Here is a 24,579-nt window from a genome sequence, read left to right on the forward strand (position 1 = left end):
TTACCAGTAATACTTCAATGAGGCATGTAAGACTGAAAGACGTCATGATAACCTGACTTTGAAGTTTCTTTTTCACATTTATAACAAGTACTAGATCCTGATGCTCAAAACTCACCTGTGCAGTTCTGCAGTTTCTGAACAAATGCTCTAGATACTGGGATTGGCTGGGGAAATTTCAAGAAGAAACAGGCAGGAAGATCAACACTGTTGGCACTGGTGATTGAGGAGAAGGAAGGGGTCCTTCAAAAAAAAGAGGGTGGAAGGGTTGGATTCTGACTTGATATAAAAATGAAAAACCCAAACACCTTTTTTTTTTTTGAGACAGATTTTCCCTCTTAATGCCCAGGCTAGAGTGCAATGGCGTGATCTTGGCTCACTGCAACCTCTGCCTCCCGGGTTCAAGGGATTCTCCTATCTCAGCTTCGTGAGTAGCTGGGACTACAGGTGCCCGCCACCACGCCCGGCTAATTTTTGTATTGTTAGTAGAGATGGGGTTTCACCATGTTGGCCAGGCTGGTCTTGAACTCCTGACCTCAGGTGTTCCACTTGCCTCAGCCTCCCAAAGTGCTGGGATTACAGGCGTGAGCCACCATGCCTGGCCACAAACACCTATTCTTAAACATGTATGTATCACACAGACACATAAGTACAAACTCTCAAAAGCTCACTCTGTGAAACTTCCTACCCCCAATTCCCAGACATGCTATTGGTTAACACTGTAGAATTTAATCAAACATTTATCCTGAGGCATGTTCTCCAGTTATTACTCCAATGTAACTAATGAACGTAAGATAAAAGGGGGCACTCATTAAGCCAGAGGAATTAGCACAGTTCTCTTCTTTCCCTTTCAGTGCAGAGAATGTGTTCTACGAGCCGACTTTGGAGAGGAACACTCAGATATCAAACAAAAGAGAAACCAATGAATGGATAAAACAAAAGGCCAACCTCTAGAAATTCAAGTGGGGTAACAGCCAGGTTAAAACTTGTTACATACTGCGCTTTGAGAAAAATTGACTTTGCTACTCTAAAATTATATTTAACTTACCATTTATTGTCAACTGGATGTGACCCCATAATTAATGGTGCAATTGGGAGTTTGTACACAGCAGATGTTCCTTCAATTGTCACTGATGCATTCATGCCCAAAGATCGAGAAACTGGGGATAGGAAAGAAAAAGGGTATTCCTCAAAGTAATACAAATGATGGGAATCACAGTATGTTTTAAGAGGTTAATTTTTGCAATATTTGTCAGCTATAATTTATCAGATGCTGTTATTCCCTTATTTATTTATTTATGTATTTATTTATTTATTTTGAGACAGAGTCTTGCTCTGTCACCCAGGCTGGAGTGCAGTGGCGCAATCTCAGCTCACTGCAAGCTCCACCTCCTGGGTTCACACCATTCTCCTGCCTCAGCCACCCAAGTAGCTGGAACTACAGGCGCCCATCACCATGCCCGGCTAATTTTTTGTATTTTTAGTAGAGATGGGGTTTCACCATGTTGGTCAGGATGGTCTCGATCTCTTGACTTCATGATCCGCCCATCTTGGCCTCCCGAAGGACTAGGATTACAGGTGGGATTACAGGTGTGAATCACTGCGCCCAGCCTATTTATTTATTTTTTTATTGGAGGCAGAGTCTCACTCTGTCCAGACTGGAATGCAGTGGTGTGATCTCGACTCACTGCAATCTCCACCTCCCAGGTTCAAGAAATTTTCATGCCTCAGCCTCCCACGTACATGGCATTACAGGAATGCACCACCATGCCTGGCTAATTTTTTTGTATGTTTTGTAGAGATGGGGGTTTCATCAGGTTGGCCAGGCTGGTCTCAAACTCCTGGCCTAAAGTTGATCCACCCATCTCAGCCTCCCACAGTGCTGAAATTACAGGCATGAACCACCAGGCACGGCCTGTAGTTCCTATAAAACTTAGAAATCAGGCCAGGTGTGATGGCTCATGCCTGTAATCCCAGCACTTTGGGAGGCTGAGGCGGGTGGATCACAAGGTCAGGGGTTCAAGACCAGCCTGCAGAAGACGGTGAAACCGCATCTCTACTAAAAACACAAAAATTAGCCAGGTGTGGTGACAGGCGCCTGTAATCCCAGCTACTCAGGAGGCTGAGGCAGGAGAATCACTTGAACCTGGGGGGCGGAGGTTGCAGTGAGCCGAAATCGCACCACTGCACTCCAGCCTGGGCGACAGAGTGAGACTCTGTCTGGGGAAAAAAAAAAAAAAAATTAGAAATCCTGGAAGTTACCTTTCTAATCAACCAATAATTTTTGTCAGTAAATAAAACACAAGAAACAATGCAGTCCAAAAACATCATTTTTGAAGGGTTCAGTATCAATATTTACTTATTTTTTCTTCAGAATGCATTTAAGTAGGATCATAATAAAAGGACAGGCTGGTGCACTGGCTCACACCTGTAATCCTAGCACTTTGGGAGGCCAAGGCGGGAGGATGGCTTGAGCCCAGGACTTCGGGGGCTGTAGTGAGCTGTGATCAAATCACTGTACGCCAGCCTGGGCAACACAGTGAGACCTACCCCGTCCCCCATGCCAAATTATAATAACAATAAAGGAGCCTGACGCCAAGGCTCGCACCTGTAATCCTAGCACTTTCGGAGGCCAAGACAGGTGGATCACTTCAGGTAAGGAGTTCAAGACCAGCTTGGCCAACATAGTGAAACCCCATCTCTACTAAAAATACAAGAATTAGCCGGGTGTGGTGGTGCATGCCTGTAGTCCCAGCTACTTGGGAGGCTGAGGCAGGAGAATCACTTGAACCCAGGAGGTGTAGGTTGCAGTGAGCTGAGATCGCACTACTGCACTCCAGCCTGGGTGACAGAGTGAGACTCCATCTTAAATAAATAAATAAACAAACAAACAAACAAACAATAAAGGGATGGAGTCAATGAGTGAAGCTACAAAGGGACCTAAGGAGGTATTAGTCCATTTCACTTTTTTTTGAGACAGAGTTTTGCTCTTGTTGCCCAGGCTGGAGTGCAATGGCACAATCTCGGTTCACTGCAACCTCCGCCTCCCAGGTTCAAGCGATTCTCCTGCCTCAGCTTCCTGAGTAGCTGGGATTACAAGCATGGGCCATCACGCCTGGCTAATTTTGTATTTTTAGTAGAGACAGGGTTTCTCCATGTTGGTCAGGCTGGTCTCGAACTCCTGACCTCAGGTGATTCGCCCACCTCAGCCTCCCAAAGTGCTGGGATTACAGGCATGAGCCACCGCGCCCGGCAGTCTATCTCTCTTTATCTTTTCTTGTATCAAGGGCAAACAGAAAATAATGTCCATTACCATAGTTCTTTAATTTAGAAAACTTCACTTTTTTTTTGATCAGTAACTCACTACGTTGCCCAGGCTGGAGTACCATGACTATTTACATGCACGATCATGGTATGCTACAGTCTCAAACTCCTGGGCTCAAGCAATCCTCCCGCCCAAACCTCCCAAGTAGCTAGGACTACAGGCATAAACTACCAGGCCCATCCTTCTACACTTTTTAAACAATGAGTAAGCTGATTATCTCAGGTCAGATCGTTTATATCTCTTCTTATGAGTTGCTCATTTACTTATTTATTCAAAAGTACTTTTTTTCTTTTTTTGAGATGGAGTCTCGCTCTGTCACCCAGACTGGAGTGCAGTGACGCAATCTTGACTCACTGCAACCTCCTCCTCCCGGGTTCAAGCAATTCTCTTGCCTTAGCCTCCTGAGTAGCTGGGATTACAGGCGCGTACCACCATGCTTGGGTAATTTTTGTATTTTTAGTAGAGACAGGGTTTCACCATGTTGGTCAGGCTGGTCTCCAAGTCCTGACCTCGTGATCTGCCCACCTCAGCCTCCCAAAGTGCTGGGATTACAGGCGTGAGCCACCGTGCCCAGCCCAAAAGTACTTATTAAGCTCCTATTATGTATGTGTGTATATATGCATGTGTGTATATACATATGTATGTACTTGTGAACACACATATACGTGTGTGAGGTGTTGTGTGTATAAGGTGCAAATGGTAAGGTCAACAAACTCATTAGAGAATAGCAAACCAGAAATTAAAGGCAAGCTGGGCACCGAACAAAACCTTTAATTCCTTTACAATTAAAGTCTTACCATTATTCTCATGCAAAATGATGGGAGATGCAGTCTTGTCATCCAGTAGGTCAGAAGGAGAGACATAGTACTTCAGGTTCATTAAATGACCTATAAAAAATAAAACTCATAACTGTATCTTTATCAGGTAAATTACAAACACAGAAAAACATTAACATTTATTATATAAACCGATATTCAAGAAAGTACTTTAACATATATGAAGAGTCATGCTCCAAAACAGCTTATGAAATATGGCAGGTGTGGTGACTCACACCTGTAATCCTGGCTCTCTGGGAGGCTCCGGCAAGAGGATCACTTGAGTCCAGGAGTTTGAGACTAGCATGGTCAACACAGTCAGACTCCACCTCTAAAAATAATAATAATAGGCCGGGCGCGATGGCTAATGCCTGTAATCCTAGCACTTTGGGAGGTAAAGATGGTGAATCACCTGAGGAGAGAAGTTCAAGACCAGCCTGGCCAACATGGTGAAACCCCATCTCTACTAAAAATACAAAAAATTGGCCAGGTGCGGTGGCTCATGCCTGTAATCCCACAACTTTGGGAGGCCAAGGCAGGCGGATCACAAGGTCAGGATATTGAGACCATCCTGACTAACATGGTGAAACCCCATCTTGACTAAAAATACAAAAAACTAGCTGGGCATGGTGGCACGCGCCTGTAGTCCCAGCTATGCAGGAGGCTGAGGCAGAAGAATCGCTTGAACCCAGGAAGCGGAGGTTACAGTGAGCTGAGATCATGCCACTGCACTCCAGCCCTGGCAACAGAGGGAGACTCCGTCTCAAAAATAATAATAATAATAATTAGCCTGGCATGCTGGTGAGTGCCCGTAGTCCCAGCTACTCAGGAAGTTAAGGTGGGAGGTCAAGGATACAATGAGCCGTGATTGTGCCACTGCACTCCAGCCTGGAAGGCAGAGCAAGACCCCGTCTCAAAAAGTAAAAATAAAAAATAAAGAAATATGACAGGCGCTTGGGTGTGGTGGCACACACCTGTAATCCCAGCACTTTGGGAGGCCAAGGTGGGCAGATCACGAGGTCAGGAGATCAAGACGAGCCTGGCCAGCATGGTGAAACCTTGTATCTACTAAAAATACAAAAAATTAGCCAGGCATGGTGGCTCGCACCTGTAGTCCCAACTACTCGGGAGGCTGTGACAGGAGAATTGCTTGAACCCAGGAGGTGGAGGTTGCAGTGAGCTAAAATCGTGCCACTGCACTCCAGCCTGGGTGACAGAGCAAGACTCCATCTCAAAAAAAAAAGACATATGACAGAAGATGAAGTATGGATTCCGGGACTAACAATTTATTTCACACAATTGATTTAAAAAAAAAAAAAGGCCAGGTGAACTGGCTCACGCTTATAATCCCAACACTTTGGGAGGCTGAGGCTGGAGGATCACTTGAAGCCAGGAGTTCAAGTCTATAGTGAGTTATGACTGCACCACTGCACTCTAGCCTAGGCAACACAGTGAGACCCCCATCTCTAAAAAAATTGTTAAAGTTACCCAGGCATGGTGGCACTTGACTGAAGTCCTAGCTACTCAGGGGGCTGAGGTGGGAAGATCACTTAAGCCCAAGAGTTAAGGGCTGAAGTGAGCTATGTTTCTGCCACTGTACTTCAGCCAGAGGGACATAGCAAGGCTCTGTCTCAAAAAGATAACAAACAAAAATGGGGAGGACAGGTATTGACAGCTTAGAAATCATCGCAAAAAGCCCAGGCGCAGTGGCTCACGCCTATAATCCCAGCACTTTGGGAGGCCGAGACAGGCAGCTCACCTAGGGTCAGGAGTTCGAGACCAGCCTGGCCAACATGGTGAAACCCTGTCTCTGGTAAAAATACAAAAATTAGCTGGGCACGGTGGCACGTGCCTGTAATCCCAGCTACATGGGAGGCTGAGGCAAGAGAATTGCTGGAACCCAGGATGCAGAGGTTGCAATGAGCCAAGATCGCGCCACTGCACTCCAGCCTGGGAGACAGAGCAAGACTCTGCCTAAATGCCTAAAAAAAAAAAAAAAAAAAAAAAAAGGAAGAAATCATCACAAAATACACAAATATCTGGCAATTTTCTCCCTCTGCTTATATGTTTATAAACCCCAAGATGAGGCCGGGCGCAGTGGCTTATGCTTATAATCCCAACCCTTTGCAATGCAGTGGCAGGAAGATCACTTGATCCCAGTTCAAGACCAGCCTAGGCAACATAGTAAGACCATGTCTCTATAAAACAACAAAAATTAGCCAGGCATGGTATCCTGTACCTGTAGTCCAAGCTACTCAGGAAACTGAGTTAGGGGGATTATTTGGGCCCAGGAGGTTGAGGCTGGAGTGAGTCATGATTGCACGACTGCACTCCAGCCTGGGCAACACAGCAAGACCCTGTCTCAAAAATAAATAAATAGGGATTGGTGCAGTGGCTAATACCTGTTTGTAATCCCAGCACTTTGGGCAGCCGAGGAGGGAGGATCACTTGAAGTCAGGAATTTGAGACCAGCCTGGCCAACATGGTGAAACCCCATCTCTACTAAAAATACAAAAATTAGTCGGGTGTGGTGGCACATGCCTGTAATCCCAGCTACTCGGGAGGCTGAGGCAGGAGAATCCCTTGAACCCAGGAGGCAGAGGTTACAGTGATCCAAGATTGTGCCACTGCACTCCAGCCTGGTGAGAGCCTGTCTCAAGAAAAATAAACAAATACATAAGAATAAAAATTGGCCAGGCGCAGTGGCTCATGCCTGTAATCCCAGCACTTTGGGAGGCTGAGGCGGGCAGATCACGAGGTCAGGAGATCGAGATCATCCTGGCTAACGCTGTGAAACCCCGTCTCCACTAAAAAATACAAAAAAATTAGCCAGGCGTGGTGGCGGGCGCCTGTAGTCCCAGCTACCCTGGAGGCTGAGGCAGGAGAATGGCGTGAACCTGGGAGGCGGAGCTTGCAGTGAGCTGAGATCGCGCCACTGTACTCCAGCCTGGGCAACAGAGCAAGACTCCGTCTTAAAAAAAAAAAAAAAAAACAGAATAAAAATTAACAAATAAATAGGCTGGGCGCAGTGGCTCATGCCTGTAATCCCAGCACTTTGGGAGACCAAGGTAGGCCGATCAGTCGAGGCGAGGAGTTCAGGACCAGCCTGGCCAAAACAGTGAAACCCTGTCTCTACCAACAATAGAATAAATTAGCTGGCTATTGTGGTGCACACCTGTAATCCCAGCTACTCAGGAGGCTGAGGCATGAGATTCACTTGAGCCCAGGAGGTGGAAGGAGCAGTAAGCCGAGATCATGCCACTGCACTCCAGCCTGGGCAACAAAGTGAGACTCTGTCTCAAAAAAATAAACAAACAAACTAAAGGTGAAATGAAAAGTAATGACCCTCAACTTAAATTACACATGTTTCTAAACAAGCAAAATAGGATCACGTACCCCCACTCCTTGGTGTGAGATAGCCAACACTTCCATGAAGAATCTTATCCAAGGGACCAGCATTAGTTGCTTTCCTGTAAGACAAGTGATCTATGTTTGCTTATATTTAATCCCTGATGGTCTTGGTACACACTGTGATATTGAGTTCACCTCTCCGAAGTCTTGTCTTTTTTTTTTTTTGAGACGGAGTTTCGCTCTTGTCGCCCAGGCTGAAGTGCAGTGGTACAATCTCAGCTCACCGCAACCTCCGCTTCCCAGGTTCCAGTGATTCTCCTGCCTCAGCCTCCCGAGTAGCTGGGATTACAGGCGCCCGCCACCACGCCCAGCTAATTTTTTGTATTTTTAGTAGAGACGGGGTTTCACCATATTGGGCAGGCTGGTCTCGAACTCGTGACCTCAGGTGATCCGCCCGCCTCGGCCTCCCAAAGTGCTGGGATTACAGGCGTGAGCCACCGCGCCCAGCCCAAAGTCTTATAATACTATCATAATGGTTCTGTCTTGTAATTGGGCATATAGCAAATGTATTTCACCTCCAAAGTAAAGGGATTATTTCCAAGTACACACCAGTATGTAGTATGGTGAACAAAAATTACACTTAGACTATTATTTCTCAGATGGGACTCCAGGTCTGATGAGTCTTGAGATAAAACCTATGGTAACCAACAACTTAGCGATACTGATACTCAGAAGTTCAAATACAATCATCATTTTGGAAGAGAAAGGACATATTATCATACAGGCTTAATAGAGATGTATAAAATAGGACCCTAATCTCCCCAGAGAAAAACTCAAGGGATCATGTAGAATTAAGGTTTTAGCAGTCTTACCAGTACATAATTGCCATTTTAGAAAGATCTTGTTCTAAGGATTGGAGAGCCAAGTACATTTTAGTCTTCAGTTTGCTGGAGAGTAGATGAGAAGAACATGAGTTAATAGTTGAAAAATATGACCAAGCGGGGTGGCTCAGCCTGTAATCCCAGCACCTTGGGAGGCTGAGGCGGGCAGATCACCTGAGGTCAGGAGTTTGAGACCGGCCTGGCCAACATGGCAAAACCCCATCTCTACTAAAACTACAAAAATTAGCCGAGCGTGGTGGCAGGCACCTGTAATCCCAGCTGCTCGGAAGGGTGAGGCAGGAGAATTGCTTGAACCCGAGAGGAAGAGGTTGCAGTGAGCCAAGATCATACCACTGCACTCCAGCCTGGGTGACAGAACAAGATTCCATCTCAAAAAAAAAAAAAAAAAAAGTTGAAAAATACACATATATACATACAGACACAAACAGTGACATAGAAGGCCTAAAGAGCAAGTCTAAATTGAAGGCAAAAATATATATATATTTTTAAAAACTGGCCAGGCGCAGTGGCTCATGCCTATAATCCTAGCAATTTGGGAAGCCGAGGAGGGCAGATTGCCTGAGCTCAGGAGTTTGAGACCAGCCTGGGCAACACGGTGAAACCCCGTCTCTAATAAAATACAAAAAAAAAAAATTAGCCAGGCGTGGCAGCATGCGCCTGTAGTCCCAGCTACTTGGGAGACTAAGGCAAGAGAATTGCTTGAACCCGGGAGGTGGAGGTTGCAGTGAACCGAGATCATGCCATTGCATTCCAGCCTGGTGGCAGAGCGAGACTCTGTCTCCAAAAAAAAACAAAAACCAAAAAAAAAACTGGCCAGGCGCGGTGGCTCACGCCTGTAATCCCAACACTTTGGGAGGCCGAAGCGGGTAGATCACGTGAGGTCAGGAGTTTGAGACCAGCCTGACCAACATGGTAAAACCCTGTCTCTACTAGAAATACAAAAATTAGCCAGGTGGCTGGGCGCAATGTCTCACGCCTATAATCCAAGCACTCTGGGAGGCCATGGCGGGTGGATCAAGGTCAGGAGTTCGAGACCAGCCTGGCCAAGATGGTGAAACCCCACCTCTACTAAAAATGCAAAACTTAGCCAGGTCAGTGGTGGGCGCCTTTAATCCCAGCTACTCGGGAGGCTGAGGCAGGAGAATCGCTTGAACCCAGGAGGCGGAGGTTGCAGTGAGCCGAGATGGCACCACTGTACTGCAGCCTGGGCGACAGAGCAAGAGTCCATCTCAAAAAAAATTATAATAATTAGCCGGGCGTGGTGGCGCATAGCCGTAAACCCAGCTACTCGGAAGGCTGAGGCAGGAGAACTGCTTGAACCCGGGAGGTGGAGGCTGCAGTGAGCTGAGGTCATGCCACTGCACTCCAGCCTGGGTGACAGAGCGACAATCCGTATTTAAAAAAAAAGAAAAAAAAAAAACATTTTAAAACATTAATTCTTGACTGGACCTCAGGTGGTCCACCCACCTCAGCCTCCCAAAGTGGCCAGGATTAAAGGAGTGAGCCACTGTGCCCAGCCTAAAACATTAATTTTTAAAATAAATTTTTTTTGTTACTATATATATATATATATATACACACATATTTTTTCTTTTTTTTTGAGACAGCATCTCGCTCTGTCAACCAGGCTGGAGCACAGTGACGCAATCACTGCTCACTGCACCCTCAAACTACTAGTTTGAAGTGATCGTCCCACCTTAGCCTCCGAAGTAGCTGGGACTACATGCACCCATCACCACCCATCTAAGCTGTTGCTGTTGTCTTTCTGCTAGAGACAGGGTCTCACTATGTTGCCCAGGCTGGTATTGATCTCCTGAGCTCAAGAAATCTTCCTGTCTTGGCCTCCCAATGTACTGGGATTAGAGGCATGGGCCACTTTGACTGGCTTCACTACTATTAAAGCCTATTTTTAGCACTTCAAAGCTTATTTTTATCTCTGTTTTAAAAAGCCAAATACGTTAATAGAATCCCAGGTAGGTTAAAAATAGAATTAAAGCCAGTTCCACAGCAACTAATTCCTTTCAGCCTAGAAATTGGAATGTTGGACATCTCAAAGATTATATTCTGTCTTCCAGCATTATGATCGATTAATGCAGGTGCTGCCTATTGAAGATATCTTTGAAAGGCCCAATGTTGGAAGCTGAGCTACAGATTGCAGTATAAGTAGAAACTAGGAGTGACAAACAGCAGAAGAGGTGGCAAATTTCTAGGCATAAGGTGGCTTATAGATTTATACTGATTTTTACAAACAAAAGCAAAAATATTAAAAATACTTACTTGTCCCCTGGAAGGTTATACAGATTAACAAGGCCCTTAAGGTGCTTAGAAAATTCATCAAAATTTTTTTCCCTATAAGGAGTTCAGGGAAGAGGGGAAAGAGAGGAAAATAAAACATAAAATTACTACTCAATCTTACAACAAAGTGCCAAAAATCACAGCTATATAAAACTGATTTTAATAATCAGCTTTAACCATTTTCCTCAAAAGTTTTCTAGCATCAATGTAAAGCAGCAAAAGAAAAGAAAATATTTTCCTTTGTCTCCCTCCTCCATTTTTTCTGGAGAAGGTGCTAATAAGCAGTGTGAAAGTTAAAAGGAAGGTGGGCAAAATCTCTTTACCAGGTGTTTTATTAGCTCCCAAGCAATGAAACCTGATTTAAATCAATCATTAACAACTTTCCTTTCTTTTCCCTTTTTATTAATTTTTTTGTAGAGACGGGGTTTCCCGATGTTGCCCAGGCCAGACTCTAACTCCAGGACTTCAGCAATGCTCTCACTTCAACCTCTCACCTTCAACAACAGGTGTGCACCACCACACCCAGCTCCTTTCCTCCAAATATGTAACTGAATTTGGATGTCAACAAAAATAAAACTTTTGATTGCAGAGATAATAAGAAGAAAATAAATTAGGAAGGGCCAGGCACAGTCCTCGCGCCTGTAATCCCAGCACTTTGGGAGGCCAAGGTGGGTGGATCATGAGGTTAGGAGATCGAGACCATCCTGGCTAGCATGGTGAAACCCCATCTCTATTAAAAATACAAAAAAAAATTAGCCGAGTGTGGTGGCGGGCACCTGTAGTCCCAGCTACTCAGGAGGCTGAGGCAGGAGAACAGCATGAACCAAGAAGGCGGAGCTTGCAGTGAGCCGAGATCGCGCCACTGCACTCCAGCCTGGGCAACAGAGCAAGACTGTGTGTCAAAAAAAGAAAATAAATTGGGAAGACACAACACTTGTGGGTATACAGCAACATGAGAGCAAAGATGAGAGGGAAAACAAATACTAGGACAGAGATGGAGACCCAGAGAAAAGGTAGTGGGTACTCTCGAGGCAAAATACCCATTAGAAAATATTGCTACGACCAGATCTACCCTAGAAAACATAAACTACTACCGTGACCTCTGGCTTTCTAGGACCCAATATTCAGGCTTCGATTGTCGGACAAATGGGCTTTTGTGGATAGGTTTAGGAATCCAATACATCTCCACAATTCTAACTCTTGATATCTTTTTTCAAACTTGAAAAAAAAAGCTCTCTGGAAAGCTAAACTGCCATGACAATGTCAGACACTTGAGCAGACATTCTGTGAGCATTTACTGAGCACTTACAGTCAACAGTGCTATTAAGACAGCAAAAAGAAACGAGTAGCAGCAAAATATATTCTTTAACTTAATATTACCATCTATACTAAATGGTAATATCAGGTAAAAGTCAACATTATTTCTTTTTTTCTCCTTTTCTTTTTTGAGACAGAGTCTCACTCTGTCGTCCAGGCTGGAGTCCGATGGCGATGGCACGATCTCAGCTCACTACAACTTCCACCTCCTGAGTTCACGCAATTCTCCAGCCTCAGCCTCCTGTGTAGCTGGAATTACAGACGAGCACCACCACACCCGGCTAATTTTTTGTATTTTTAGTAGACATAAGGTTTCACCATGCCTGGATACTACAAAAATTAGCCGGGCATAATGGCAGGTACCCATAATCCCAGCTACTCAGGAGGCTAAGGCAGGAAAATCGCTTGAACCCGGGAGGGGGAGGTTGCAGTGAGCCGAGATTGCGCCACTGTACTCCAGCCTGAGCAACAGAGTGACACACCATCTCGAAAAAAAAGGCCGGGTGCGGTGGCTCACACCTGTAATCCCAGCACTTTGGGAGGCCGAGGCGGGCAGATCACGAGGTCAGGAGATCGAAACCATCCTGGCTAACACGATGAAACCTCGTCTCTACTAAAAATACAAAAATTATCCGGGCATGGTGGCAGGTGCCTGTAGTCCCAGCTACTCGGGAGGCTGAGGCAGGAGAATGGCATGAACCCAGGAGGCGGAGCTTGCAGTGAGCAGAGAGCACACCACTGCACTCCAGCCTGGGCGACAGAGCAAGACTCCAACTCAAAAAAAAGAAAAAAAAAAAAAAAAAAGCTTTTGCACACACACATACACAACTTATTTCCTCAATGTGAACACTCTAAGACATCCTCATGTGGTGCCTGAGAACTTCGCAATGCTCAAAACAAAGTGTATGTAATAACTTCCTTAAATTCCCCAAAAGTCTTAACTCTGAGTTTAAATTTAAGTACAGAAATTTCCACTCAATTAAAAGAAAAGTGAAAAAATCCACTATCTGCTAAAAGCGACTGTCTTCAAGCCTAGCACTTTTACTGTAACACACATGTACCTTCTAAATGAAACAATTTTTCCCAAAATCAAAGCGAAAAAGTTATTTTCATGGTATCATACTCAATTATCAAGCCTTCACTGATTCAATGATTACCTTCTATTTATTTTGTTCCACACATAATTCTTTATTATTTTTTTTTTTGAGACAGTCTCACTCCGTCACCCAGGCTGGAATGCAGTGATGTGATCCCAGCTCACTGCAACCTCCACCTCCCAGGCTCAAGCCATCTTGTGCCTCAGCCTCCTGAGTAGCTGGGATTACACGTGTGAGCCACTATGCTCAGCTACTTTTTTTTTTTTTTTGAGACAGAGTTTTGTTCTTGTTGCCCAGGCTGGACTGTAATGGCATGATCTTGGCTCACCACAACCTCTGCCTCCCGGGTTCAAGCGATTCTCTTGCCTCAGCCTCCCAAGTAGCTGAGATTACAAGCATGTGCCACCACGCACGGCTAATTTTGTATTTTTAGTAGAGACGGGGTTTCTCCGTGTTGGTCAGGCTGGTCTCGAACTCCTGACTTCAGGTGATCCGCCTGCCTCGGCTTCCCAAAGTGCTGGGATTACAGGCATGAGCCATCGCGCCTGGCCTCACATTCAGCAATTTTTGTATTTTTTGTAGAGACAGGGTTTCGCCAGGCTGGCTAGGCTGGTCTTGAACTCTTGGCCTCAAGTGATCTGCTCACTTCGACCTCCCAAATTGTTGGGATTATAGGCATGAGCCACCGCCCCCAGCTATATGAAATTCCTAAACCTAGATCACCAATTCCCAACCAGGGGTGATTTTGTGCCCCAGGGGACATGGTTGTAACAACTAAGGAGATACTACTAGCAACTAATGAAGAGGCCAGGGATGCTATTAAACATAATAGAATGCACCAGGCCACCCGGGAGCAAAGAATTTTCCAATCCAAATTGTCATTAGTACCAAGTTTAAGAGACCCTGGGATATCTTTCTGTTGGGAATCTGAATCAAAATAAGAAAAAAAAAATTAAAACTTAAAAAAACAGGGGCCGGGCACAGTGGCTCATGCCTATAATCCCAGCACTTTGGGAGGCCAAGGCAGGAGGATCACCTGAGGTCAGGAGTTTGAGATCAGCCTGGGCAACACGGTGAAACCCCGTCTCTACTGAAAATACAAAATTAGCAGGGCGTGGTAGCACATGCCTGTAATCCCAGCTACTCGGGAGGCTGAGGCAGGAGAATCACTTGAACCCAGGAGGCAGAGGATGCGGTGAGCCAAGATCACACCATTGCACTCCAGCCTGGGCAACAAAAGTAAATCTCCGTCTCACCAAAAAAATAAAAATAAAAATAAAAAAACAGAAAAGGGGCCAGGTGCTCAGTGAGCCGAGACCGCACCATTATACTCCAGACTAGGTAACAAGAACAAAACTCCGTCTCAAAAAAAAACAGAAAAGAAAAGAAAAGGGTCCAGCATGGTGGCTCACAACTGTAATCCCAGCACTTTGGGAGATGTGAGGTCAGGAGTTCAAGATCAGCCTGGCCCACATGGCGAAACCTCGTCTCTATTTTTTTTTTTTTTCTGAGATGGAGTCTTGCTCTGTCACCCAGGCTGGAGTGCAGTGGCACGATCTCAGCACACTACAACCTCCGCCTCCTGGGTTCAAGCAATTTTCTGCCTCAGCCTCCCGAGTAGCTGGGATTACAGGTACCCACCACCATGCCTGGCTAATTTTTTTTTTTTTTTTTTTTTTTTGAGACGGCGTCTTGCTCTGTCGCCCAGGCTGGAGTGCAGTGGCGAGATCTCAGCTTACTGCAAGCTCCGCTCCCAGGTTCACGCCATTCTCCTGCCTCAGCCTCCCTAGTAGCTGGAACCACAGATGCCTGCCACCACACCCAGTTAATTTTTTGTATTTTTTCTTTTTTTAGTAGAGATGGGGTTTCACCGTGTTAGCCAGGATGGTCTTGATCTCCTGACCTCATGATCCACCCGCCTCAGCCTCCCAAAGTCCTGGGATTACAGGTGTCAGCCTAAATTTTATATTTTTAATAGAGATGGGGTTTCACCATCTTGGCCAGTCTGGTCTTGAACTCCTGACCTCATGGATCCACCTGCCTCAGCCTCCCAAAGTGCTGGGATTACAGGCGTGAGCCACCGCACCCAGCCACCTAGTCTCTATTAAAAATACAAAAATTAGCTGGGCATGGTGGCACACACATGCAGTCCCAGCCGCTCTGGAGGCTGAGGCAGGAAAATCGCTTGAACCCAGGAGGCAGAGGTTGCAGTGAGCTGAGATCGCGCCACTGCACTCCAGCCTGGGCAATAGAGCAAGACTCCATCTCAAAACAAAAACGAAAACAAAAAAACCCTGGGATAGAGTAGGGTGAAAAGCTATGCTATGTCAATTCAGGACGTGATTAAGTATAGACTCTTAAAAATCTTTGCCCAAGAAAATAAACTTGTTCCTGAGGAGAATAACTTCTGACCAGTCTTAAAAGCCAGCTGTAAAGAACAGCACTGTCTGTCAATATCAAGGAATATAAATCGTATTTGCTCACCTTAGCTGCTGTACAAGCTCCGGACAGCTCTGAAATCAAAGAAAATTATGTTAAAACATTAAAACTACTTTAGCAACTTTGAAGATATCAAAAGCCTTTCTCTTTTTCTATAGCACATGTTTTACAACAAAACCATTAAAACTACAGATGGTCCTCATATTAAAATATTAAAAAGCATCTTCTTCCTACTTGGTGAACCACAGGATTAGGGTGAGAAATTTAAAGTCAAAGCATATGAAATAGTTTTTAAAAGAATCTACTTTCAGTAGCTTGTTTAAAACATTAGGAACTCTAATGCCATACATGGAATTCATATCAAATTATCTGGTTACACAGATTTTACATTCATCTCTATTACATAATTTTTCAGATCATCTGTTCTTGATTATAATCTCTTTGAAGGTAGTAACCCTGAGTCATTTATTTCTGTATCCCCAGCACCTATTGTTCAATCGTGGCTCATGTTTGTTGATATGAAATGAAAAGGGTTCCTGCCGGTGCAGTGGCTTATGCCTGTAATCCCAACACTTTGGGAGGCTGAGGCAGGTGGATCACTTGAGGTCAGGAGCTGGAGACCAGCCTGGCCAACATAGGGAAACCCCGTCTCTACTAAAAATACAAAAATTAGCCAGGCATGGTGGCACACACCTGTAATCCCAGCTACTTGGGAGGCTGAGGCAGGAGAATTGCTTGAATCCAGGAGGCAGAGATTACAGTGAGCCAAGATCATGCCACTGCACTCCAGGCGACAGAACGAGACTCTGTCCCAGGGAAAAAAAAAAAGAAAAAGAAGGAAAGAAGGAAAGAAAGAAAGAAAGAAAGAAGGAAGGAAGGAAGGAAGGAAGGAAGGAAGGAAAGAAAGAAAGAAAGAGAGAAAGAGAAAGAAAGAAAAGAAAGAAAAGAAAAAGAAAGCAAGCAAGCAAGCAAGAAAGAAAGAAAGAAAAAAGAAAGAAAAGAAAGAAAGGAAGGAAGGAAGGAAGGAAAGGGAAAAGGGTTCCTATGGTGTTTCCACTTGTTAAAGCCTTTGGATGATGTCAGAGATGGGACCCATATTTTCTAAATCCCATTCTATAGCTGTTGATTTTGTAGCCCATCACATCATCTCTACAGTGGCTCATGGAAAAACCTAAACCCAAGCTATTTAAACCCCAACAATTAATTTTAAAATTAATGTCCCTAAGTAAACCCCACAGATTCCAGTGAAATATCAACAACACATACCACAGGATTCTCCCCATGGTGAGCCACTTTTACATCACAAAGCTGTCCTGCAGGATCTAACTGCACTTCCACATAGAACATATCTGACGTGATGTAACATTCAGTGCCACTGGCACTGAGATGAGAGCCCAGTCTAGCAGGAACAAATCAAAACAAAAATTAATAGAAGACACATAAATAAAGCCACCCAAAGTTAACACTAAGTTAAACATTTCTGCCTACAGAAAGACTACTTACCCATTCTGTCTTGCTATGGACTCCAAACGATCAGTCATTGCTGGTAAAGATGTTACTATAAAAGGATGAAAAAAGGAGTCACAAAGAATGCTCCAAATGACTTAAATGATATTCTTTTAAGACAGAAAGATTCATCCTTCCAAAACCGTAAACATATTCAGTAGTTCAAATGCTTGTAATTTACATAAAGTTCACTGATTAGGGTTAGCTGTGGCCTATGCAGTACTAAAGGTCAAAAAAAAAAGATCTATTTGAAAAATTACCGAACCTTTCTCCTCTCCTGTTTTCATTACTCCTTATGTGGGACAAACTGCCTTTAACTTAAGACACATTTATCTGCTAATGATAGAATAAGGAAGATTAACATTAAAACTAACATTAAAAAAAACTCAACATTAACAACACCATTAATCACAACAGTCAAAAGGTTAAAACAATCCAAGTGTCCACTAGCAGATGAATGGATAAATGAAATGTATATACATAAAGAGGAGTATTTTTCAACCTTAAAAAAGAAAGAAATTCTAATAAATGCTTCAAAATAGATGAACCTTGAAGACATTACGTTTAGTGAAATAAGCCAGTCACAAAAGGACAAATATATGATTCCACTTATATCAGGTATACAGAGTAGTCAAATTCATAAAGACAGGAAGCAGAATGGTGGCTGCCAGGGACTGGGGGAAGGCGGGAATGGGACATTACAGAATGTAAGCTTGGGAAGATGAGTGAAGTTTTACAGATGGACAGTGGTGATGATTATACAATAATATGAATGTACTTAACGCTACTGAACTATACACTTAGAAACAAAGAAAATGGTAAATTTTGTTACCTATATTTTACCACAATTAAAACAGAAAAAAAGGCCTCGTGCGGTGGCTGACGCCTGTAATCCTAACACTTTCGGAGACCGAGGCATGCGGATCACAAGGTCAGGGGTTCAAGACCAGCCTGACCAACGTGGTGAAACCCTGTCTCTAATAAAAATACAAAAATTAGCCAGGTGTGGTGGTGCGCGCCTATAATCCCACCCTCTCGGGAGGCTGAGGCAAGAGAATCTCTTGAACCCGGTGGGGGCGCAGTGGTTGCAGTGAGCAGAGATCGTGCCACTGCACTCCAGCCTGGGTGACACAGCGACACTCTGTCTCAAAGAAAAAGAAAACAAAAAAAGGTAAAGAAGATAATACTCAGCTGAGACTGGGCAAAGTGGCTCACGCCTGTAATCCCAACACTTTGGGAGGCCAAGGCAGGCAGATCACCTGAGGTCAGGAGTCCAAGACCACCCTGGCCAACATGGTGAAACCCCATCTCTACTAAAAATCCAAAAATTAGCTGAGCATGGTAATGGGCGCCTGTAATCCCAGTTACTCAGGAGGCTGAGGCAGAACAATCACTTGAATCCGGGAAACGGAGGTTGCAGTGAGCAGAGATCGTGCCACTGCACTCCAGCCTGGACGACAGAGTGAGACACTGTCTCCAGAAAAAAAAAAAAAAACCCTCAGCTGAATTAGGTTCATTTCTGGTGGATCACAGTAAAATCTGTTTTTACTTTCATTATTCCCCAAAAATAGAATTAGTCATTATAAGCATGAATAATCAAGCTCATGACTTATATTTTACATTTGCTTTCCTGGAAATTTGCTCCATAAACACCGTAAAAATCTTTTTAGAGTTAAAATGTCCATCTTCTGGACAGGCATGGTAGCTCACGCCTGTAATCCCAGCAATTTGGGAGGCCGAGGCGGGTGGATCACGAGGTCAGGAGATCTATACTATCCTGGCTAACACGGTGAAACCCCATCTCTACTAAAAATACAAAACATTAGCCAGGCGTGGTGGGACGCGCCTGTAGTCCCAGCTGCTTGGGAGGCTGAGCCAGGAGAATCGCTTGAACCCAGGAGGTGGAGGTTGCAGTGAGCCAAGATTGTGCCACTGCACTCCAGCCTGGGTGACAGAGTGAGACACCGTCTCGGAAAAAAAAAAAAAAAAAAAAAAACTTCGCGAGTTGCTGTGGCTCGCGCCTGTGATCCCAGAACTTTGGGAGGCCAAGGTGGGCAGATCACCTGAGGTCAAGAGATCGAGACCAGCCTGACCAACATGGAAAACCCTGTCTCTACTAAAAATATAAAATTACCCGGGCATGGTGGCACATGCCTGTAATCCCAGCTACTTGGGAGGCTGAGGCAGGAGAATCGCTTGAACCCAGGAGGCAGAGGTTGTGGTGAGCCGAGATTCCACCACTGCACTCCAGCCAGAGCAACAAGAGTGAAACTCCATCTCAAAAAAAAAAAAAAAAAAAAAAAAAGTCCATCTTCTTATCGAGATTAATCAGAAATAAATGTGAAGGGAAAAAAAACTTTTCCCAGGTATCTTTTTTTTTTTTTTTTTTTTTTTTGAGACAAGTCTTGCCCTGTTGCCCAGGCTGGAGTGTAATGGCGTGATTTTGGCTCACTGCAACCTCCGCCTCCCCAGGTCACACTGTTCTCCTGCCTCAGCCTCCCGAGAAGCTGGGATTATAGGTGCCCGCCACCACGTCCAGCTAATTTTTGTATTTTTAGTAGAGACAGGGTTTCACCATGTTGGCCAGGCTGGTCTCAAACTCCTGACCTTGTGATCCGCCCACCTCAGCCTCCCAAAGTGCTGGGATTACAGGAGCGAGCCACCGCACCCAGCCTCCCCAGGTATCTTATATTACCCTTCATCATTTATCTTTTAAATCTCTATCAGCCTCCAAAACAGGATCAAAAATAAATGTTTCAAACTTTAGCAAAAAGATCATTCCAACTCCATAAATGAATGCAAGAGCAATATCTAATACATAAAGTTGACCTACCTCAATTTTTTACTTCTAGTTTAAGTATAAAATGGTCCTTCTTGAACTGGGGGTTTTGTGAAATCAGCATATTTCAAAAGTGTTCACAAACCTTTGAGAGCCTTCTGCAATGTCTCCAAACAGCTGACCAAATGTTGATGCCCTCCAGAACTCATCACAACCCTCTTCTCCTGTGTCAAGTGGGAAAACATTTGAGGTGAAAATTAACCAGGCCAACAGTGTTTTAGGTAAACATACACATTATCCTAGTAGTAATATTGCAGGACAGTCTATAGACTCAATATAGTCTATAGATTTTGTAGACTATATAGAGTAACACTGGTCTACAAGTGTTACTCTGTCCATCCATGCAAAATCCATATATATGAGTGTAGAAAAAGGTATTCCTCAGCCAGGCACGTGGCTCATGCCTGTAATTCTAGCACACTGAGAGGCCAAAGCTGAATAATCACTTGAGTCCAGGAGTTCGAGACCAGCCAAGGCAAGATAGAGAGATCCTGTTTCTATTTAGTCAAAAACAAAAAAGAAAACGTTGTATTTCCACATCTAAAACAAAAAAACCTTTAGAGAAATATTAGGAAGAATCAAAATGTAATACATGAGATCTGCCGCCTGTGGAAGTGACCACATGCTAAGATATAAACAGTTAAATAAGATGGCTCAGGAGATTTGGTAGTGTACAAATTTAACAAGGTGATTTGCATGTAATCTGAGAAACACAACCAAATTTTAAGAAAATGAGATTGACTCTAAAAAACAGAACATATAGGCTGGGTGCGGTGGCTCACACCTGTAATCCCAGCACTTTGGGAGGTCAAGGCGGGTGGATCACGAGGTCAAGAGACTGAGACCATCCTGGCCAAAATGGTGAAACCCCGTCTCTACTAAAAATACAAAAATTATCTGGGCGTGGTGGTGCACGCCTATAGTCCCAGCTACTCAGCAGGCTGAGGCAGGAGAATCACTTGAACCCAGGAGGCGGAGGTTGCAGTGAGCCGAGATCACACCACTGCACTCCAGCCTGGCGACAGAGAGAGACTCTGTCTCAAAAAAAAAAAGAAAAAGAAAAGAAACAGAACATGTAGTCCAGAAAAGGGACTTCCAAAGAACAAAAACTTAGCCTAGTTTGAGGCCGGTTGCAGTGGCTCACGCCTGTAATCCCAGCACTTTGGGAGGCCAAGGCGAGCAGATCATGAGGTCAGGAGTTCGAGACCAGCCTGGCCAACATAGTGAAACCCCATCTCTACTAAAAATACAAAAATTAGCCAGGTGTGGTGGTACGCGCCTGTAGTCCCAGCTACTCAGGAGGCTGAGGCAGGAGAATCGCTTGACCCGGGGATGCAGAGGTTGCAGTGAGCCAAGACCACACCATTGCACTCCAACCTTGGTGACAGAGTGAGACTCCATCTCAAACAAAACAAAACAAACAAACAAACAAAAAAAAACTTAGCCTAGTTTTCCTAACCCTATCCAGTGAAGAAGTTTCTCTCTGAAAAACATTCCAGTCCCTAAAAACGTGAACAGTTTTCTGGTATAAGGATAGTTTTCCAGGCTTTTCCATGTTGCAAATAAATCTATCTCACTGCTCTAATTCTCCCTTACAAAACAAAGTAATTTATTAATAATCTGAAATCTCTTGATTCTTGACAGGAGAAGAGGTGCTCTGGTCAATGAATACCAGTATTATGAAAACTGGAAAACTAAATGTTTTGTCATAAATTAATAAATAAGCATACAGTATGTCAGTTGTTGAAAACTCTTTTTTTTTTTTTGAGATGGAGTCTCGCTCCGATGCCCAGACTGGAGTGCAGTAGCATGATCTTGGCTCACTGCAACCTCCACCTCCCGGGTTCAAGCGGTTCTGCTGTCTCAGCCTCCCGAGTAGCTGGGACTACAGGCGCCTGCCACTATGCCCAGCTAATTTTGTCTTTTTAGTAGAGACAGGGTTTTACCTTGTTGGTCAGCCTGGTCTCGAACTCCTGACCTCAGGTGATCGACCCGCCTCAGCCTCCCAAAGTGCTGGGATTACAGATGTGAACCACCACGCCCAGCCATGAAAACTCTATAAAATCTTGATGTACCAATAAAATTAGGTTTCTGAATCTGCAAAACTGAAAAGTAGACAAGCAAAGTCATGGTGACCAAACCAAGAGAGTGGTACCCAAAGAGAGGGCCTTATTAGCCACCTGGAATCCTTCTATCTCACAATGTCTCTCTAATGACAGTATCATTTACAGAACATATTTCAAGCTAGAATTTGGTTGCCTTAAGGAATAAAAATGACAACCTGGGCCAGGCACAGGGGCTCACACCCGTAATCACAGCACTTTGGGAGGCTGAGGCAGGTGGATCACAAGGTCAGGAGTTCAAGACCAGCCTGGCTAACATGGTGAAACCCCATCTCTACTAAAAATACAAAAATTAACTGGGCATGGTGGCGGATGCCTGTAATACCAGCTACTCAGGAGGCTGGGGCAGGAGAATCGCTTGAACCCAGGAGGCGGAGGATGCAGTGAGCCAAGATCCCACCACTGCACTCCAGCCTAGGTGACAGACAGAGATTCCATCTTTAAAAAAAAAAAAAAAAAATGAATCCGCCAGGCACGGTGGCTCACACTGTAATCCTAACACTTTGGGAGGCCAAAGTGGGTGGATCACTTGAGCCCACAAGTTTGAGACCAGCCTGAGCCACAGAGTAAAAACCTATTTCTGGCTAAGCGCAGTGGCTACGCCTGTAATCCCAGCACTTTGAGAGGCCGAGACGGGTGGATCACGAGGTCAGGAGATCGAGACCATCCTGGCTAACACGGTGAAACCCCGTCTCTACTAAAAATACAAAAAGTTAGCCGGGAATAGTGGCAGGGGCCTGTAGTCCCAGCTACTCGGGAGGCTGAGGCAGGAGAACGGCATGAACCCGGGAGGCAAAGCTTGCAGTGAGCCGAGATCGCACCACTGCACTCCAGCCTGGGTGACAAAGCGACACTCCATCTCAAAAAAAAAAAAAAAAAAACGATTTCTACAAAAAATATAAAAAACTAGCTGGGCAGCCGGGCACAGTGGCTCACGCCTGTAATCCCAGCACTTTGGGAGGCAGATCACGAGGTCAGGAGATGGAGACCATCCTGACCAACATGGTGAAACCCCATCTCTACTAAAATACAAAAAATTAGCCAGGCGTGGTGGCGTGTGCCTGTAGTCCCGGCTACTCGGGAGGCTGACGCAGGGGAATCTCTTGAACCTAAGAGGCAGAGGTTGCAGTGAGCCGAGATCGCACCATTGCACTCCAGCCTGGCCACAGAGCAAGACTCCATCTCAAAGAAAAAAAAAAAAAAACTAGCTGGACATGGTTACATGCACCTGTTGTTCCAGATACTAGGAGGCTGAGGTGGGAGAACCACCTGAGCCTGGGAAGTTGAAGCTGCAGTGAGCCATGATCGCGCCACTGCACTTGAGCCTGGATGATAAGACCTGGTCTCAAAAAAAAGAATGAATCAAAAATTCTACTAGTACAGGCTGGGCATACCTAATCTGAAAATCAAAAATCTGAAATGCTCCCAAATCCAAAACCTTTTTAGCATTCCCAATGATGCCACCAAGGATTTCACACCTGACCTCACATAACAGGGTCATAGTCAAAATGCAGTCAAAACGGCTGGACGCGGTGGCTCACGCCTGTAATCCCAGCACTTTGGGAGGCGAAGGCAGGTGGATCACCTGAGGTCTGGAGGTCAAGACCAGCCTGACCAACATGGAGAAACCCCGTCTCTACAAATAATATAAAAATTAGCTGGGCGTGGTGGCGCATGCCTGTAATCCCAGCTATTCGGGAGGCTGAGGCAGAAGAATCACTTGAACCTGGGAGGCAGAGGTTGCAGTGAGCCGAGATCGGGCTATTACAACCCAGCCTGGGCAACAAGAGTGAAACTCCGTCTCAATAAAAAAAAAAAACAAAAAAAAACTTAGTTTCACACACAAAAGTATTAAATATATTATTAAATATGTTGTATAAAATTACCTTCAGGCTATATCTATAAGGTGTTTATGAAACATAAATAAATTATGTGTTTAGACTTGGGTCCCATCCCCAAGATATCTCATTATATATTTGCAAATATTCCAAAATCCAAAACAATCCAAAATCTAAAACACTTCCGGTCCCAAGCATTTCATATAAGGGATATTCAACCTGTAGTATAGATACAATAGACTCCTAAAGTTGAAACCACCATGTATTCAGATGTTTTATGAAGATAGTATGAACACATCTACATGGGGAGCTTAGCGTATTAAGAATAATTATCTAAGCAAAACACTTTACCCACTTCACCACAATCCTTACCATGACTTGACGCACAAGCTTAATGGTTTCACTCCAGGGTCTATTTTGGTTAAATTTTGCATGGAGCCGTTCCAGGAGAGAACTCATCTTACTCAGCTTTTCTGACTCTATGATTTAAATCAGAAAACGTTATCAGTAACTGTTCTATCAAGACCATCCACAGTTTTCCTTGCAAAATAAATTCCCACACTTCATCACAGTAAGAATTCAGTTAAAATATTTTCCAAAATCATTTTACTTCAAAACATCCAAAGAAGACATTTTTAATGGCAAGATGACACACAAGTTATGGGTCTGATGTAAGGAATACCATACCACTGGACTGTTATCTATCCACCTTTTTTTTTTTTTTTTTAAAGACTA

At 44.4% G+C, this 24,579-nt stretch overlaps 1 protein-coding gene across 4 annotated transcripts in view; it reads right to left on the reverse strand.

The window, feature by feature from the left end:
• Positions 1–24,579, reverse strand: part of MED1 (mediator complex subunit 1) — a 46,979-nt gene that overhangs the window by 19,297 nt on the left and 3,103 nt on the right. For 2 of the 4 annotated variants that reach the window (XM_006721957.3, NM_004774.4), the window contains exons 2-12: positions 24,217–24,323; positions 19,969–20,047; positions 17,042–17,096; positions 16,805–16,937; positions 15,584–15,612; positions 10,668–10,739; positions 8,361–8,435; positions 7,534–7,607; positions 4,120–4,209; positions 1,046–1,157; positions 116–240 (exon numbers count right to left, since the gene is read on the reverse strand). In XM_006721957.3, coding sequence (XP_006722020.1) covers positions 116–240; positions 1,046–1,157; positions 4,120–4,209; positions 7,534–7,607; positions 8,361–8,435; positions 10,668–10,739; positions 15,584–15,612; positions 16,805–16,937; positions 17,042–17,096; positions 19,969–20,047; positions 24,217–24,323 — 951 coding nt within the window. Of the gene's footprint in view, positions 1–115; positions 241–1,045; positions 1,158–4,119; positions 4,210–7,533; positions 7,608–8,360; positions 8,439–10,667; positions 10,740–15,583; positions 15,613–16,804; positions 16,938–17,041; positions 17,097–19,968; positions 20,048–24,216; positions 24,324–24,579 lie in introns of those variants that run through there. The other 2 variants (XM_047436314.1, XM_047436315.1) reach the window with 2 other exon arrangements.

This window comes from Homo sapiens, chromosome 17, assembly GCF_000001405.40.
Source record: "Homo sapiens chromosome 17, GRCh38.p14 Primary Assembly".
Taxonomy (NCBI): Eukaryota; Metazoa; Chordata; class Mammalia; order Primates; family Hominidae; genus Homo; species Homo sapiens.